General features: G+C 38.9%; 1 pseudogene across 1 annotated transcript in view; it reads left to right on the forward strand.

Moving 5' to 3' along the window:
* The first annotated feature begins 1669 nt into the window (after positions 1-1669).
* Positions 1670-19364, forward strand: part of REREP1Y (arginine-glutamic acid dipeptide repeats pseudogene 1 Y-linked) — a 41502-nt pseudogene continuing 23807 nt past the window's right edge. The window contains exon 1 of the transcript XR_938667.3: positions 1670-2072. The product of XR_938667.3 is annotated as an arginine-glutamic acid dipeptide repeats pseudogene 1 Y-linked (transcript). The remainder of the gene's footprint in view (positions 2073-19364) is intronic.

Below are 19364 nucleotides of genomic sequence, written 5' to 3' on the forward strand. Positions count from 1 at the left end.
CAGTCATGCTACCAAGCATGGGAATGTTAGTATTTAGGTTTACATCAGTATTTCTTTAAGTGAAAAGATCTAATGGAGACTCACCTTATCAGATGAGATTAGCTATATAAGCTATATCCATAATATATATCATATACGATCTGAATTCCCAATATAATTTGCTTTTTATTTTGTTTGTTTGTTTGTTTGTTTTTGAGACAGAGTTTTGTTCTTGTCGCCCAGGCTAGAGTGCAATGGCACGATCTCGGCTTACCACAACTTCTGCCTCACTGTTTCAAGTGATTCTCCTGCCTCAGCCTCCTGTGCAATAGCTGGGACTACAGGTGCCCCCCACAACACCTGACTAATTTTTTGTATTTTTAGTAGAGACAGGGTTTCACCATGTTGGTCAGGCTGGTCTTGAACTCCTGACCTTAGGTGATCTACCCACCTCGGCCTCCCAAAGTTCTGGGATTACAGGCGTGAGCCATCGCACCTGGCAACAGTTGGCCTTTGAGACACAGTGTATTCTAGTTTATGATAGAATTTATCAGTCTTCTTAAGGAAGACTGAGTAATTTCCAGGATCCCTAATAAAGGGGTTCTGATTCACTCTCAATCTAAAAGAATGAGTTTGTAAAACTCTTTTCAACCTATATTCCTCAGACCAACTTCCAAGTAGCTGATCACTTCCCTTGATTTAATTTCACAAAGTTAATCATAGGAGTAAAGAAGTTGTCAAGGCAATTAGAGGGAAAAGAATAGCATGTTGAGAAAGTTTGAAGTGAAAAGTATAAATTTCATGTGGAAAAAGGGAAAACAGGTTAGAGTTTCCAAGAGTCCAGAGAAAAGACGGTTGTTACTTTGGGGATAAACCCGTTGGCTTAGAAAACATTTGGCCTAGAAATTTTGGTTAGTGTAGTGGTAACAACAGAGTGCAAAAGATTAAATTTTAGATGTTTCTTCCAGGTCAAATCCAAAATCCTTTAACACGATGCAAATAAATTCCTCTCTTTTTAATTTCATTTTCCCTGTACTACTGAGTCTTGTAGCCTTGCAATTGCACTACTGTCTGTTTTCTCTCTTCATTTCTGGCCCTTCTTTCTTTTCCCTCACCTTTATACCACTTTCCACTGTCATTTTCCCGATTGTGGCATCTTAGGCAACTCTGGTAAGCTTTATACTTACAGATCCAGCCAGTAATGTCTTTAATGGACAGATAACTTTCTTTGCAGTGAGCCAGAGCTTCAATTTGCTTCCTCACGGTGCAACAGGAATGGCATCTCATTAAAATTGAACATTAAGGGCCTGAAGGTGCTTTGACTAATTTTTCTGTCTGGGCATTGTTACTTAAGAGATCTGGAAGTTGAAAAATCCCCCTTCTCATAGTAGTCAGAGCAATCAGCCTTAGAGACTGCTGCCTACTCTGAGGCAGGGGACACTGGAAGGTTGGTGAGGTTTGCCCCTGAGCATGCCCCCAAAGAGCCTCCCTTTATTCCTAGAAGCTGGCAGGCTTTCTTTTCCTCCTACAAGTGGCAACCCGAATTCTGAGTTGAAAGTGAATCTTTGCCCTTGGCTCCTCTCTAGCATTCTTCACTGAGTGAATAGGAGTTTGGAATGTCAGAAAATAGAAGAGGGGAGGGGAAAAGATGTGTGTATGACTGTGAGTGTTTATATGTAAAAGCAGCTTCATCTGGGAGGACTTAGGGAAACCTGACTTCCTCAGACTGCTTCCTTCTTATAAACTCTTGGTTCCTTATTTATCGTTTTTTTGTTTTTGATTTTTAAGTTGTCTGACCTGATTTTATCATAGTAGTTCCAAATGCCTTACAGCCCAGTGGAGTCAAGCTAAGGAAGGACAGCATGATTTCCACAGGATTTGTATTTCTTCCCTCTGGATAAAGTGATAGTAGATCCCAGACTCACTGCCAGCAGGATCCAAGGTGGTCTTTCCTCCAGTATTTAATCTGGTGTCATCAGGAACCTACACTCAGGTTTTATTGGAGAGCAAGCCTCAATAAGAAGTGTGCTTTGAGGAGAATCAAGGACTTAATCTAGGCATAAAAGGTGTTGCTCAGCACAATACCCTCTACGGTAAGCTACCAGTCCTGAGAACCTGTGGTCAAAACTGAATTGAAAATATTGATGGAACTCAGACTCTGTGTAACTGGGGACTGGTTCAGAGCTCAAGACTATAATTTACAGGGCAGCTTTTATCCTTTATTTAGTTCTATCCAAAGTCATCTTGCATCAAGTCAAAAGGAGAGATTCTGTGAGGGTAACCTAAAGGGGAAATTTCCCAGCTTTGTGTGAAGAATCCAGTGGTTGCGTGTCTATCTGCATCCTGAGGAACCATGTCCTCTTTATATACCCGAAGTAAAGAATTCACTAGGAATAGGAAACCTCAGTCTGATTCTCCCCCGGCATCTCCCTCCCTGACTGCCAAGATGCTCTGACTAAGCAGCATTTTTTATTTACATATGTTCATAGCTGTGTCAAAGGTAGAGAATGTGTGTATATATAACTTGGGGCATTAGGTTTAGAGCAAAGGGACTTCAGAGCATATGGGAATCAGTACAGGAAAAAAAATTGCAAGTAAAGACCCTGTAAGTTTCTCTGCAAGAGGTTATGGTTCATAATACTTAATGTAGTCTTAAGTAAAAGCAGACTTAAATATGTCGGGCTACAGTTTCTGCCTTTTAGCTTTTAACTATCAGTTGTAAACTGCTTAACAGTAAGATTTTACAGTCCTTATCACTTTATCTTACAAGGCTTTTCTTAATTTCTACAGCTATTTTAGTCACTGCCTTTCTTGTGTTTTATGGGTCAATACTATGTTTCAAGAGAAAAACCTCCTAAATGGCCACACAACTATATACATTAAACTTCAGTTTAGCAAGTTCTGTGTGTGTATTTGTGTGTGTATGTATGTGAGGTAGAGTATGCTTTTGCCTAGTTTGTATGTCTGTCTGTGAGAAAGACCAAAATGAGCAAGGAGCAAGGAGTTATGGCCACTTGGAATCTTACTCCTTAATCACCAAGTACCTTCAGGAAATTTCTTGCTTAAAAGCCAAAGAACTAACTCTTGGCCATTGACAACCAGCTGTATGGAGGTGTTTGCGATGTCCTAGGTAGAGCCATTTGGGACTTTTCTCCATTTTCTCTAATGAATGTCTCAGCGAAGAGATTTACATATAGGCATTTGCATCTGATTTAGTGTCTTCCTCTGTGGGAAGCTGACAAAAGCAACAACTGCTACCAATAGCAAGGGATGAGAAGCTCTGATGGGCATATTAGGTAGCAGGCAATGTAGCAGTTACTTTTTCAGGAACTAGATTGTGCTTTGCTGTATATACAGAGTAAGAAGAAGGACGGCCATAGCTTCCTTATTTAGGGAGCTATGGGGAGAAAATTTGCAAGAAGCCTGGATAGACTAGTGTGGGGTTTTTTTCCCCAATTATTTTGTATGCATTTTCAATGTCTTTCTTACCAGTATAAATTACCATGTAGTGGAATTTGGTATATGGCATGTTGGTCTAAGACCTCAGCTAGGGATGAGAATACCAAAAGAATATTGTTACGAAGTTATTTTATTCACAAGTTTTTGTGAGAGCACCAAGAGGGGCTCCAATATATATGTTACTGTCATCGAGTTCCAGGAGTGTCTCTTCAACACATAGACTGGTACCTCTTTTTCCCAAGGAGCCACAGAATGCTTTCACCCCACTAGCTGTTGGGTATTTTTTGGTGGCTACCAATTGAGGTCCGCAAAACTGAACACCTTACTTCAGTTAGTGTTTAACTTTGCTCCCTTCCCTCTTATACTGTGTAGTACCTTTAGTTGTAAAGAGCCCCTTATTAATGTCTCTTCACCACTATAACCATAGTTCCAGAGCAATGTGGTGAGCAGTCAACAATAACCTGTTAGGTGATCTTCCTCCATTTTCCCTTTCTGTTTCTCCTTTGCTTTCTTAGAGTTAGGTACTGCTTTCGTCTTGTCTCACTTCTAACAGCTGCCATCCAACCTCCCTACCCTCGTTTCACCACCCCTCATCCCTGCCTTTTAGACAGAGGTCACAGTGGGAGAAAATCTGAATTACAGGAAACTAAAACATAGACGGCTTAATAAGATACTGCTTCCCAATTTTAGTGGTCACTGGCTGTGGATTCCTACAATACCATCAACTTACTCTAACTAACTTCCAGTGTCCAAATGACTTGAGACTATAATAAAGAGAATGTTGATTTTCATATACCACTCATGTTCCATTATGTTGCTTATGTCTTTAATGTCAGAGAAAGATATGCAAGACTCATTTGGTGGCTGCTGACACTAAGGACTGGGTATAAAATGAAGATTTCATCTCGCAAGATCTCCCTTAACCTAGTTCATTTTCTCTCATGTCCAACTAATTAGGGTAGTCTTTAAAAACTGGTTTTGAGTGTATTTTAACAACTGGTTTTGTGATGGTGGTGTTGTGCTCATATGCCTTTTGATGCCTGGTTGCAACTGGCTGATCCTCAGCCACCCTGAAAGGTGGGTATTGGTATCCCTATTTTACATATGAGGAAACTGAGGTACATAGAAGAGAAATGGCTTGCCCAGCATTGCTCAACTAGTAAGCAGCAGAGCCTTGATTAAAGCACCAAGCTCTCTGACTCTAAAACCCCATATTCCCAGCAACATTGGAGTACGTCTCAAATATATTTGAAGGTCAAGTTTAAGAACATGCTAAAGGACAAAGATGACAGTTAAAAGCTTAAGTAGCTGTGGGAGTCCAAAATGTATCCTTGATGGAGACACAGGAAACTGAAATTGCAGGAAGGAGGGAAACTGTATTTATAGGCCAAGGGAGGGAATTGGCAGGCCATAACTGAATCTCCTATGCCTGGTTCTCAAATCCCAGTCATACTCTCTGGGACCATGGAGCCCACAGAATCTGAGAGCTTGTGGGCTTCAGGGTCTTTGTATTTCTCTAGAAAAGTGGAAATGCTTGAGTCTTTACAGTAAAGATACTGGGAAGTTTCTGTGTGCATTTCAGAGTTAAAGTCAGGACAGCTCTCTTACTGTCCTCTTCCAAACTTCTTTGACTTGTTTGTATACATACATACAGTTTCTTCTAGAGATGGCACAGAGTTACAGAGGGACAGCACCTGATCCAACATTCTTCAAAACGGAAGATTGAAATTTCAGCCAGCAGTTAAAAGTTTGATTGTTTTTTGAGTGTTGTTAACAGGGCTAAAGAGTAAATGCCCCCATATAAGGAAAATATCCTCAGAGAGAATTTTAAAATAATAGCTATTCACATGGAGAGAATATTTTGGACACTGTACCTTTCGTCAAATGTTCAAGCAGTAGTAAAGGCAAACTATAAACTGTAAGTCAAACAAGTTATTATTTTTAACTTGAGAAAACAAAAGGCAGGATGATTTTTCAGTGACTAGAAAACAAACCTTTATTATATATGTTTACTTTTAAACTCGTAACAGCAGCTGATATACTCCCTAATGAAAAATCACTCATGTAGAAGATAGTGCATGTCCTCACCAGCCAAAAAGATTTTTGTTTACCTTCTCTACTTTGTATTTTGAAAATAATAAATATTTTTAATTCTCTGAACACAAAATTATGCTATTAAACATGGTTTTTAAAAATATACACCCGGGCTGGGTGCAGTGGCTCACACCTGTAGTCCCAGCACTTTGGGAGGCTGAAGCCTCGTGGACCATGAGGTCAGGAGTTCGAGACCAGCCTGGCCAACATAGTGAAACCCCATCTCTACTAAAATTACAAAAACTTAGCTCGGCATGGTGGTGGGCACCTGTTATCCCAGCTTCTCGGAAGGCTGAAGCAGGAGAATCGCTTGAACCCGGAAGGCGGGGGTTGCAGCGAGCCAAGATTGCACCATTGCACTCCAGCCTGGGCAACAAGAGCGAAACTCCGTCTATAAGTAAACAAACAAACAAACACATCCCTCTTCCTCACTAGAGAAAATTTCATCCATCCTTTTGGCATGCCCTCACTCGCTCCTACTGACACTAAGAATGACTGTTATAAGTGGTATGCTCCTAATATTGCTGTTTTGGAGTCTGTTGATCCTAAATAATGAAATAATTTTTTTTACTGCTACTTTTGGCTTTCATATGAAGTTTCCATTAGTTCAGTATCTTTTTTGTGTCTAAAAGTTGAGAAGTTCCCTTAGTAACAGCTCTGATCATCTCTGATTTGTTACTCAGGAAAAGTGGAAAAACTTTCAGATTCACTTGCATTTCTAATGGGAACCACACCAGGTAGATATTGATGAGAATTTGAAAGCTCAGTCTCTTTTCTCATACCACAAAATAACCCTAATATAAGATGCTGGGTTCATACAATTAGTAGTAAAACTTTCTTTTGACAGTAATTTTCCAACATAAAAAAAATTATTTTTCTTTTGAGTCTTTGTAGTTAAAGAAAAAATTCTGAACTGCAAATACATTAGACACTTGTAGCTCTTGGTTTTTAATTACTATGTATATTATTGGGTCTAACGTTTATAAATTCTATAAATTAGGAACTACTCAATTTAGATGGTTTAGCATTTTTAAATTATCCTAAAAGTAAGAGCCAGGTAATCTTTGGTCAGTATTCTCAAATTTTTCTTATTTGCTAATTTAAAATTTTTTCAATGCAGGGTATATTTAAAGGAAACAAATACTAGAGGATGTCCAAATTGTAGTGCTTATCTGATATTTATTATATTGAATAAATCTTGAAGTAAGTGGGTCATCAGCTGAACCCTGGGAATCTTTTAATTAGGCACATTTTCATTGAACTGGTATTTGTTATAATAGGATTTGACCTGCATTTATAAAGCAAGATCAGTAGCATTTTCCCATTTAGTCTGGATTGCTATTCCTTCAGTTCTAACATCTCAATTTTAAAAAATGACAAAAACAAAAAATTACAGAGATTTTACATAATATTTTTCAGTCAGCCATTAATGTGCATAAAGGGAACATTTAATCAATAAGCTTTGTTTTATAACCAGTCCTACAAACTAATTAGGGTACATTTGATAAATAATTGGATGATAAAGGATTATTGCCTTCATCAGAGCTTGTCTACGTAACAACTTTGGTTAGCAAGCCAGAGACATTCTGCCCCTTTGCCTTCCAGACTGTCAGTGTTGATAATTACTTCTTGCGTGTGCTTTGTGCCTTCCTCTGACAAGTACCAAACAGTTCTTTAGCATATTATCATATCCTCTATACATCCAACACTACATCTGATGCACTACCAATCTGGAATCCATTTTTACTCCTCTTTATAATCCGTTGTCATGGAATGAGAAACACTTGGATGAACAATGCTAATTAAGAGTGCAATCTGTTAACCATTTTTTTCTGCCTAATTAAAACCAGGAGTGTATTTGTTTTTGGGGTTTTTTATTTCACTCAAGGAAAATCAATAGCAGTAATTGTTAAGCCCAAGGAATCTTCCTAGAATAGTAAAACCTGTGGGAATAAAAGTAGCTTTCCCATTAGGACCCATTACATGAATTCTTTTTTTTTTTTTTATTATACTTTAAGTTTTAGGGTACATGTGCACATTGTGCAGGTTAGTTACATATGTATACATGTGCCATGCTGGTGCACTGCACCCACTAACTCATCATCTAGCATTCGGTATATCTCCCAATGCTATCCCTCCCCCCTCCCCCCACCCCACCACAGTCCCCAGAGTGTGATGTTCCCGTTCCTGTGTCCATGTGTTCTCGTTGTTCAATTCCCACCTATGAGTGAGAATATGTGGTGTTTGGTTTTTTGTTCTTGTGATAGTTTACTGAGAATGATGATTTCCAATTTCATCCATGTCCCTACAAAGGACATGAACTCATCATTTTTTATGGCTGCATAGTATTCCATGGTGTATATGTGCCACATTTTCTTAATCCAGTCTATCATTGTTGGACATTTGGGTTGGTTCCAAGTCTTTGCTATTGTGAATAATGCCGCAATAAACATACGTGTGCATGTGTCTTTATAGCAGCATGATTTATAGCCCTTTGGGTATATACCCAGTAATGGGATGGCTGGGTCAAATGGTATTTCTAGTTCTAGATCCCTGAGGAATCGCCACACCGACTTCCACAATGGTTAAACTAGTTTACAGTCCCACCAACAGTGTAAAAGTGTTCCTATTTCTCCACATCCTCTCCAGCACCTGTTGTTTCCTGACTTTTTAATGATTGCCATTCTAACTGGTGTGAGATGGTATCTCATTGTGGTTTTGATTTGCATTTCCCTGATGGCCAGTGATGATGAGCATTTTTTCATGTGTTTTTTGGCTGCATAAATGTCTTCTTTTGAGAAGTGTCTGTTCATGTCCTTTGCCCACTTTTTGATGGGGTTGTTTGTTTTTTTCTCGTAAATTTATTTGAGTTCATTGTAGATTCTGGATATTAGCCCTTTGTCAGATGAGTAGGTTGCGAAAATTTTTTCCCATTTTGTAGGTTGCCTGTTCACTCTGATGGTAGTTTCTTTGGCTGTGCAGAAGCTCTTTAGTTTAATCAGATCCCATTTGTCAATTTTGTCTTTTGTTGCCATTGCTTTTGGTGTTTTAGACAAGAAGTCCTTGCCCATGCCTATGTCCTGAATGGTAATGCCTAGGTTTTCTTCTAGGGTTTTTATGGTTTTAGGTCTAACATTTAAGTCTTTAATCCATCTTGAATTGATTTTTGTATAAGGTATAAGGAAGGGATCCAGTTTCAGCTTCCTACATATGGCTAGCCAGTTTTCCCAGCACCATTTATTAAATAGGGAATCCTTTCCCCATTGCTTGTTTTTCTCAGGTTTGTCAAAGATCAGATAGTTGTAGATAAGCAGCGTTATTTCTGAGGGCTCTGTTCTGTTCCATTGATCTATATCTCTGTTTTGGTACCAGTACCATGCTGTTTTGGTTACTGTAGCCTTGTAGTATAGTTTGAAGTCAGGTAGTGTGATGCCTCCAGCTTTGTTCTTTTGACTTAGGATTGACTTGGCAGTGTGGGCTCTTTTTTGGTTCCATATGAACTTTAAAGTAGTTTTTTCCAATTCTGTGAAGAAAGTCATTGGTAGCTTGATGGGGATGACACTGAATCTGTAAATTACCTTGGGCAGTATGGCCATTTTCACGATATTGATTTTTCCTACCCATGAGCATGGAATGTTCTTCCATTTGTTTGTATCCTCTTTTATTTCCTTGAGCAGTGATTTGTAGTTCTCCTTGAAGAGGTCCTTCACATCCCTTGTAAGTTGGATTCCTAGGTATTTTATTCTCTTTGAAGCAGTTGTGAATGGGAGTTCACTCATGATTTGGCTCTCTGTTTGTCTGTTGTTGGTGTATAAGAATGCTTGTGATTTTTGTACATTGATTTTGTATCCTGAGATTTTGCTGAAGTTGCTTATCAGCTTAAGGAGATTTTGGGCTGAGACAATGGGGTTTTCTAGATATACAATCATGTCATCTGCAAACAGGGACAATTTGACTTACTCTTTTCTTAACTGAATGCCCTTTATTTCCTTCTCCTGCCTAATTGCCCTGGCCAGAACTTCCAACACTATGTTGAATAGGAGTGGTGAGAGAGGGCATCCCTGTCTTGTGCCAGTTTTCAAAGGGAATGCTTCCAGTTTTTGCCCATTTAGTATGATATTGGCTGTGGGTTTGTCATAGATAGTTCTATTATTTTGAAATACGTCCCATCAATACCTAATTTATTGAGAGTTTTTAGCACCATTACATGAATTCTTAGTAGAGACTGGCCTAGTTAACTCATGTCCTACATAGAGCTGGGGGAGATGGCATCTGAAGTCTTGGTTTGTTGACCAGAGAGACTGGGAGCTTCGAAGACATCAGCTCCCTTTCCTGCAAGCGGTGTCCTGCCCTTCTACTCTAATTTTTAGTTCCATGATAAATGTGTATCAAAGCCACCTGCCCTATTGTGAATCCTCCCACAACATTTTATGAGCATCTGCTTTGTAGTAGGCTTTATATTGGACACCAGAATTCATAAATGAAAGATACAGTTCCTGCCCTCAAAGAATTGGCAGTCTAATTGGGGAGATAAAGAAAATCAAGAATTAGAATACCAGGGAGGTGAATTTTCTAATAAAGACATAAGTTCAGGGTGTTTTAGATCAGTCATGTGGTTAATACATTAGCCTGAAGTTTGGAGAACAATAGAAGGTAGATGGACAAAGAAGAAAACAGTACATTACAAAGGTAGAAAAAGAATATGAGAACATAATGGCATTATTCTGAGAGCTGCATGTCGGTGTGGCTAGAACAAAAGATATATTTAGAAATGTAATAAGAAATGAGGCAGGAGGCTTAGCAAACCCAGGTCATGTGAGGCTTTGTATATAATTTTGAGCATTTGGGGAGTTATCCTGTGGATAAAGAATAAAGGAATGAAGATTTGAAGTAAAGTTGCTGTGCTCAGAATTGCATATTAGAGAAATAACTTTGACAGCTGTGGAAGCTGGACTGGGAGGAGGGTCAGGACATGATCAGGTCACTGGCCTTTGACTGCAGTATTCCGGGTAAGAAATGTTAAGGGCCTAGTCAGAGATATTTTTTCTGGGAAGTATAGAGAAGCATTCAGTTGTTTAGAAGGTAGAATTGATAAGATATGGATTGATAGAATGGGGATAAGGATGAGCCTGAGAGAGGGCAGAGTCAGGAGTGACTACCAGGTCTCTGGTTTAGGTGACTGGGTAGAAAATGGTATGATAAGTATCAGGTGCAGGGCTCACACCTGTAATTCCAGCATTTTGGGAGGCAGAGATGGGAGGATTGCTTGAGTCCAGGAGTTTGAGACCAGTCTGGTCAATGGAGTAAGAACTGTTTCTTCAAAAAATTGTTAAACTAGCCAGGTATTGTGGCACATGCCTATACTCTTAGCTACTTGGGAGGCTGAAGTGGGAGAATAGCTTGAGCTCAGGAGGTCGAGGTTTCAGTGAGCCATGATTGTACCACTGCACTCCAGCCTGGGCAACAGAATGAGACCGTCTCAAAAAGAAAAAAAAATAGTGTGACAAAATTGAGTTGGCAAACACAGGAGGCTAAACGCTGTCAAGTGGGGAAATGGTTTCACTTTTGGAATGTCGAATTAGAGGTACTTTGGGACATTCAGATAGTGATTTCCAGAAAGTAATTGGTCTGACACTTGGGAGAAAATTATGGGCTAAAAATACTGATATTTATTGTTGAAGCCATAAGAGTGGTGAGCTTATCTAAGGAGTAGATGTAACATAAGGAGGGGCTGAGAGTAAACCTCAAGAGGAGTAACCACAGCAGATAAGAGATATGTTTCTTTTTCTAATGGTGCTTTCCTATTCCATCACCAGTGGAATCACATGCAGGAAGACAGCAGGTCTTGTATCTGGTTTCTTTGTTCAGAGGTATTGTGGTCAAACTTATGTTACGGTGATGAGTTTCAGTTCTCAAAGGATTCAGAAATTTAGTTAAGGGTCAATTGGTTATGAGTTTTGTGTTGCATTCTAGTTTTGTCTTCAGTACCTAACCAGTTGTGTGACAAGGGATTATTTTTTAAAGTTTGGAAAAGTTCCCAGACTATTCAGCATTGGTTTTTAATTTCTTTTCTTAATCTGTTAATATTTGGGTGAGCTGGCAATTTATTACTATAAGAAGACCAAAGGGAAACAATCAGAGTTGGCTTTCATCAGCTTTTTATTTCTTTTAAGCCTCCTTTTTATTCCATTCTTGACCTGGTTATCATGCAGTGAGTGACGGTTATCCACAACTGGAATGTTAGTTCTCATAACAGTTCCAAAATCCAACAGCCTTCTTTGGTTACACAGCATGGAAAGAGTTCTACCAGTGACATGATTAGATAAAGATACTGAAAGTGTGTCTGGACTTTAACCTCTCATAGTTCATTATGAAAGCAACATTTTCATATAGGAGTTGTACATAAAATTGCAAGTGGCTATTTTAAAAGTTGTATGAAAAGTTAAATATTCTAGATTTAAATAAAGTTATAAAATAGATGAGAGTATATTATAGCATTTTAAAAAATGTTTTGCATTGATTTCCAAAATCAACTTTACATAGTTGGTTGTCTGAAAGTACATATATCCATCCAGACAGTAAAATAATGACCTTAAATGTGTGTAGATTAGAAAGGGAAGTAGGAATTAGCCTGGTTAATCAAAATCTACAAATAATCAAAACCCTTTACTTGAGTGCTGAGGAATTTATTTGAGCTTATTCCTCTTGCAGCCAACAAACATTGGGAGAACCAAAAGACCAAAGAGGGACGAGAGAGAATAAAAAAAAGTATGGAGGACTGTAGTAATATCAATAGCTAAAATTTATTGAACATTTACTCTTTGTCAGTGCTGTACCAAGCACTTACATTTATTGTCTCATTTAATACGTTTGATAACCATAAACACCAAGTTAACTATCTCATTTTAATGACAAGGACACTGAACAGAGAAGTTAAGTAATCATGTAAGATCACATAACTTAGTAAATGCTGGAGCCAGCTATCTGGATCAAGAGCCTCAGCCTTAACCAGTAAGGCATGTAACTGTTCTAGTGAAACTACTGTCTCTTCTTTAAATAGCTCCTAGATTATTACCAGTATCCCTGACTACTGAATCTGACTTGGAAAGAGAGATGATGACAACAAAAGCTATCTTAAGGAAAAATGTAACAGAATAACAGGAACAAACAAACCTAGATTAGTAAAAAGTCAGAATTTTTTTTTTTTTTGAGACAGGATCTCGCTCTGTCACCCAGGCTGGAGTACAGTAGCACCATCATGGCTCACTGCAGTCTCAAACTCCTGGCCTCAAGCAATTCTCTTGCCTCAGCCTCCCTAATAGCTGGGACTATAGGTGTGCTGGGGCCTCACTAACTTGTTGACCAAGCTGGTCTCAAACTCCCAACCTCAAGTGATCCTCCTGCCTCAGCGTCCCAAGGTGCTGCGCTTACAGGTGTGAGCCACTGTGCCCAGCCAAAGTCAGAATTTTACATCATTTTAAAATAGGTGTGGTGGTGCATGCATGTAGTCCCAGATACTCAGAAGGCTGAGGCAGAAGGATCACTTTGAGCCCAGGAAATAGAGGTAGCAGTGAGCGATGATCATGCCAGTACACTCTGACAACGCAAGACTCTCTCTCTCTCTCTCTCTCTCTCTCTCTCTCTCTCTCTATATATATATATATATATATATAAAATTTTAGTATTTACAAGTGTCTATGATAAAACTCAGGACCTGTTAAATTGTAACAAGTTCTGAATTAGCAGGGCCTGAATTACTGAGATTTTTCTCATCTGAGGAGACCCTTCCCTGCCAAAACCAAGAAAATAAACTACAAAAGCATCCCCTGTCCCAAAAGTCTACATTTTAAAATACCTATTCTGCTCTGGGAGGTGGTTTAGCCCCCTAAATAAGAAACTTGTGCATTTGAAGACTCAAGTTCCCTACTAGGGGTATGAAAGTGGAAGAATCAAAGAAAGCTTCAGTTCTTTATCCTTCTAAATTTCATCTTTCAAGGCAGAGTAGCACTTTGGGATGACTGTGGCCCTTTCAAGGCCCCAACTTATGTAAGATCACTTACAAGTCACACATAATAGTGTCATTTTTCATGACCATCCAGTTTCAGACTTCAAGCTGATGTATCCACTAAGTTTGTTCCTTCCATTATCGCCTTGCCCAGAATATCTAGTCAGTATTGGTCTCTCCCTTTCCTAACTACCCCTTTTTATTTACTGTATGTACTAGATGGTCTAACATTTGATTGCATTTAATCAATTGCTTTTTTTTTTTTTTTTTTGAGACGGAGTCTTGCTCTGTTGCCCAGGCTGGAGTGCAGTGGCATGATCTCTGCTCACTGCAAGCTCTGCCTTCCAGATTCATGCCATTCTCCTGCCTCAGCCTCCCGAGTAGCTGGGACTACAGGTGCCCACCACCACACTCGGCTAATTTTTGTATTTTTAGTAGAGACGGGGTTTCACTGTGTTAGCCAGGGTGGTCTCAATCTCCTGACCTCATGATCCACCCGCCTCAGCCTCCCAGTGCTGGGATTACAGGCATGAGCCACCACGCCCAGCCAACTTTCTTGAATTACATTCTATTTGTTTTATGAGTGTGCATATTTTACCTCCTCAAAGAAGAGCTCTTTGAGATCAGAGAGCCATGTCTTAGATTCTGTAATTGTCGATTTTATTCCTGTAAGTACTACTCACAAGGCTGGGCACATACAGGTGCTTAATGTAAATGCAGGGAATGAATGCTGCTGCTTGAGATTTGATCTCTCCGCTCCTATCCCATTTAGCCGTCTGGAAAGGAGTCAGAGGCCACACACACTTGAGAATCTTATTTCTAACATGAAGGCTAACCATAGGTCTTCCCAAGTCAATTCAGATTCCTGTTTATTGCAATTTGCTAGTATATCGGTCACTCCAAAATATATGAGTTAATATTTTGGTTTTTGTGGGAATCAAAAGAGAAAAAGCCTGTGGAATCTACTCAGAAATAAAAAGTTCTACCCTATGTTACTTAGGTCCCAAGTATTAATATTTATCTCCTCATGAAATGTGAGGTCTGGAGAGCCTCACTAATTCCTTTGTAAAAGTTTTGATTCACAGCCTAGTCCAAATAAAATTAAAGTTACTGCTACCCAAACAGGCTGCTGGACTGTGACATTTACCATATGAAAATACCCATCTCTTCCCAGGCTTCAAGGAAAGCTTACTTCCTAAAGAAGTATAATGGTGGTCAGTAACATCATGACAGGCTAGTGGGGAGAGACCTGGAATCTCAATTAGAGAAATGGAGTGAAACTCAAACAGTAGGATTTAAGGCCTAAATAAGGACTTTTAAAATTTACGATATACTCTATGCTGTATTCTAACAATATTTTGGAGGGACTGATCAGGCTTCTTTTCTCAGGTGTTCACTGAGGCTGTGTTTTTTTTAAATCATCTGAATGTATTTCATAGTTTCAGATGCCCATACACATCTGTGTGAACCTAAAACTCCAAGCTATGGGGAAAGTAAACATAGATATTAAATGTGAGAAACGTGACCCATGTGCTAGAGCCACACAAGTTTTAGAGCTCCTCATTCCCCTGTTGGTCATTTTCATCCTATATAGTACACAGCATGTGAAAGGCTAGAGGGAAAATATGCCGGAGGCTGCAAATGCATTTATGAATCACAAGAGTTTTCAATTATACATATAAAATGGCTTGCCTTAGGTATCTTATGGAGGCCTTAATATATCCATATATTTCCTTCTACAATGAGTGCATTTTGTGAGTTTCCAAAAGATCCAGAAATTCTTCAGAAGCTGGGAATATTCACAAAAGGGAGGTGCAGGTCTGCATAGATGCTAAGAGCTTTAAAATTCTAATAATATTAGGTAGCACAATAGAGACAACAAAAGATGAGTCTATTTCTATCATTTAATGAACTTAATGGTTTTTCTTTTAAAATATAGTGACATATGCTGCAATATATGAGATGATGTTACATGATACCATTTTTACATGCCTTAACATTTTACATGCCTTAAATTGATAGGGTAGTCACAATCTGGCATATGAGATTTTTCAGAAATATTTATAATATGAACTGAATGTAAATACTGTATTTGACTATGTTTAACTTTTTGTTCTATATGTATTAAGTAGTCGGTAAAGACAAATCAAGACATATAATATGATGAAGACATATGTGATTTAATACTTGCTTTTAAAAGTTAATTTTTCCTTGGAAGTATACTCTCTTACACATATGTATACCAGGTCACATGGACGCCTGTTTTTTTCCCTGCATAAGACAGCACTTTTGGTATTGCCCTGATTCTGAATGTATGTAATCACCTAGTGCAGCTGAGAGGCCATGTGCTATGGATGTTTCTTTTAGGATGTTACAGATAAATTAGACCATTTTTTATAAGGGAGATCCTTGTGATAGTTGGAATTTCTAAAATGCCTCCCCAAAAGGTCCTCGCCTAATCTCTAGAACCCATGTATATGACAAGATAGCTCTCGCATGATTGTTCTGTTACATACCACAGTTGACCTAAGTTAGGGAGGTTTTCCTGGGTGGGCCTGAGCTAATCACATAAGCCTGTGAAGGCAGAGAGCCTTCTCAGCAGATGATGGACAGGAAGCCAGAGAAATGTGAAGTGCGAAAAGAACTCAATGCTTCATTGCTGGTTTGAAAATCAGAAGGGCCATGTGAAAAGGAATGTAGGAGCTTCTGCAAGCAGTAAGCAGCCACTACCCTGCAAGGCTGTGGGTACCTGAAACCTCACAGGGCTGGATTCCTGCCAACAACCTGGATGAGCTTGAAGCAGATTCTTCCCCAGATGCTCCTGATAAAAGCCAATAGCAGACTCCTTGATTTCAGACCATTGAGTACTTGAGGAGGGAACCCAGCAGAACTGTGCAGACTTCTGACCTACAAAACTGTGTGATAATAAATGGGTTTTTAAGCCACTAAATTTTGTTTTGGCAGCAATAGAAAACTAATGAAATTGAAAATTTGATGATATTAATTTTTTTGATATAAAAAACAGCATAGGCCTCATTATCATTGCCCTCTACTGTCACATCTTTGCATAAACCTTGGAAGTTCTTGTTCCACCCTCACATTTATTTCTAGATTATGCAGGATCCCCAGATAAATTACTAGAACAATGAAGGCTTCACTTCAAAGTTAGAGACTGGTAGATTCTCCTTATTTCAAGTTTCCTAAGAATCTTGTCTGTTTGAATTATGAAGAAATCTTTTTCCTTAAGATAGAAGGATGGAAAACTTTTGTCTCTCTTGGACTTACATATGAAACCAGAATGATTCTTAAACTCAAAAGTTACAAAATTATACTATTTCGCAATTAACTCAGACCATGATTAGGTTTGCAGTACCTCTGAAAATTTGAAGGGTCCTTGCTGCAGCCACACTCACATCATTGGCTTGTTCATCAACAGTCAATATTCTGAGAACACTGAAGGGAAAGAAGATGGTTCTCTGTAGACCACCCCAGAATAGCTCAAATTTTTTCCTCTGGCTCAGCTAGTACACAAGAACATAATATAAAATGTTCCTTCTGCTTATTCCCTCTTCGGGAGAAAATGTAAATAGAAGTTTTTTCCCATCACTGTGGGGTCAAGCCATAACTCCAAAAGGAAAATGAGTTAAACCAGTTTCAGCCTTGGTAGCAGACATGTGACTTGGTCTCATTCCTTTCCCTTGGGCCCAGCTTTCCTGAGCCACAGTTTTATTTTAAACTTGGTAGAAGGAGTTTGCTTTTAATTATGTGCCTTCCTGAACTCCTGATAACTTTCAAGTTGAAAGCTTTTGTGGGGATTTTTCTAAGCCAGTCTCTGGTGTTTTGAGGGCCCTACACATTTCACAAATCAAAACCAGTCTGATTTCTGTCCCTTTCTAGGATTGCCATCTGAATTAATGGTGATCTTCATTCTGTTCTTTTATGAGAAACAGGCCCAAGCAATGAGATTATTATGGGAGAATTTCAAGAGGTATGAAAGAAAGAAGTCTGCTTCTTATTTTGGGACATTTTTAAAACTATGGTCTATCCAGCTAATCATTCTTTTTACCTCTACTCTCTGTATTCATATTGGTTTCTGAGCAGCTTTTAGTCTCTTCTTCTCTAGAGTCTCATTCACATTATCTGTTGTCCCCAGTTGGGCCATAAAAGCTGTGAAAGTAATTCCTTCTTTGAACAGTTTCTATCTAGTTCAGACACACTAGAGAGTCTCATTTTAGTGGCCATCATTTGTCTTCAATAGAAGGTAGAGCAAAACAGTCTTTGACAAAAACACTTAGAGAAGTTCTAAGACTTCCAGATTAGAGCATACAGCATAATAGATTTGTGAATTAACCTACCAATTGGAGAAAAGATTCATGCCTTTTCTAAAATATATGATATCATCATGTGCAGATAAGCTATTCAGACTCTACTTACAGAGTAGACTAACTTGTGTTTTTGAGAAGAGAGAGGGAGTATACAGAGGAGGAGGATGGAAGGATGGGACCATTGCCAGAGCATAGATAAGATGAGTCCACATTCCTAGCCTCTAAAGGATCATCGATTCGGCTGAAGTCCCTAAGCCTTATGTTCTAGGACTTCGCCTTATTTCCTGCCCACTCAGCTGACCTCTTAGAATCCTCTTCTCTGGGAGAAGCTTCAGTGTTCATTTCCCTACTCTGTGTTCTGCTTACCTCTTCTGATGTCACTTCCTGGCTTACTGTTCCCCTGAGATTACTTAGGCAAACTCCCACTCTGTCTTATCTCCTCTAGATTTACTTAGTAGTCACCCTGCAGGGTTGGCAGTCAGCTTTCTTGAATGAAGTCGAGTTAGTCTAACAGTTGATGTGATCTGTAATTAGTTTGAATGACAGGAGGATGAAGAGGAAAAATTCAAGTTAAGTCTTCTGAGTCAATCCAGCCACTCTGCTTCTTTACCCAAGAAACCCCATCTTCTCTCTCCCTAAATCCAACTAGTGTTTTTTTCATCAAACCCCGGATTATCTAGGGTATCAAGAAGCCAAGCAAAACAATAGTTTCTAGAGGTATTCCACCAATGAAAATTAGTTAGGAAGTATGATCTAAAAACCTAAGCCATTTTATCAGAATTAGGGGAATTAAACATTAAACCCTATATACTTTTAAGCTATCTTGCCTTACTCTTTTTAGGCTAAAAACCTGAAAGGAAACCATTTCTATTACAGTGAGAATAATTCACCCTTAGAAGTCCAGTTTTCTTCCTTTTTTGAAATAATATTGTTTGTATTAAGTTAACTGTGTTATCCCTACTGCATCCAAAGCTCACTAATCTCTGAGGTTTTAGGAGATTTATCTACTCTCCTCTAATTGGTAGGGTTGACTTTCCCAGGACATTGCTAAGGCTAGCCCCTGACGGCAATAATATTTTAAAAAAATAAAAAATAAAGGATTCCACATAGCTCCAAAAGTCAGGTAAAAGCTGGAGGGAATTAGAGATAGCAAGGAAAGATCAAGGATTAACTTGCAAGCTCTGTTTTCTCTAATATCTGCATCTAGGTAAATTGTCTACTGCCTTGTCTGCTGGATCACTCATTACTTACACATTTTATAAAAGGTTACCCAAAAAGAAATTGTTAACAAGGAATGTTAACAAGCCTTTAAAAGCTAATAAACAACAGACTGTGGTGTTTGCTTTCAGTTACTCCTGGCAAGCAGAAGTAAGAGTGTAGGTCATCAACTTCCTAGGTGGCTGTAGGGAACACCTCCTACAGTAAGCCTATAGGGACAAAAACTGGTATGGGAATCACAAGTGTGAGCACCATTATCATTACCTTCCTCCACGTGCTCTCAT

The sequence above is a fragment of the Homo sapiens genome, chromosome Y (genome assembly GCF_000001405.40).
Source record: "Homo sapiens chromosome Y, GRCh38.p14 Primary Assembly".
Taxonomy (NCBI): domain Eukaryota; kingdom Metazoa; phylum Chordata; class Mammalia; order Primates; family Hominidae; genus Homo; species Homo sapiens.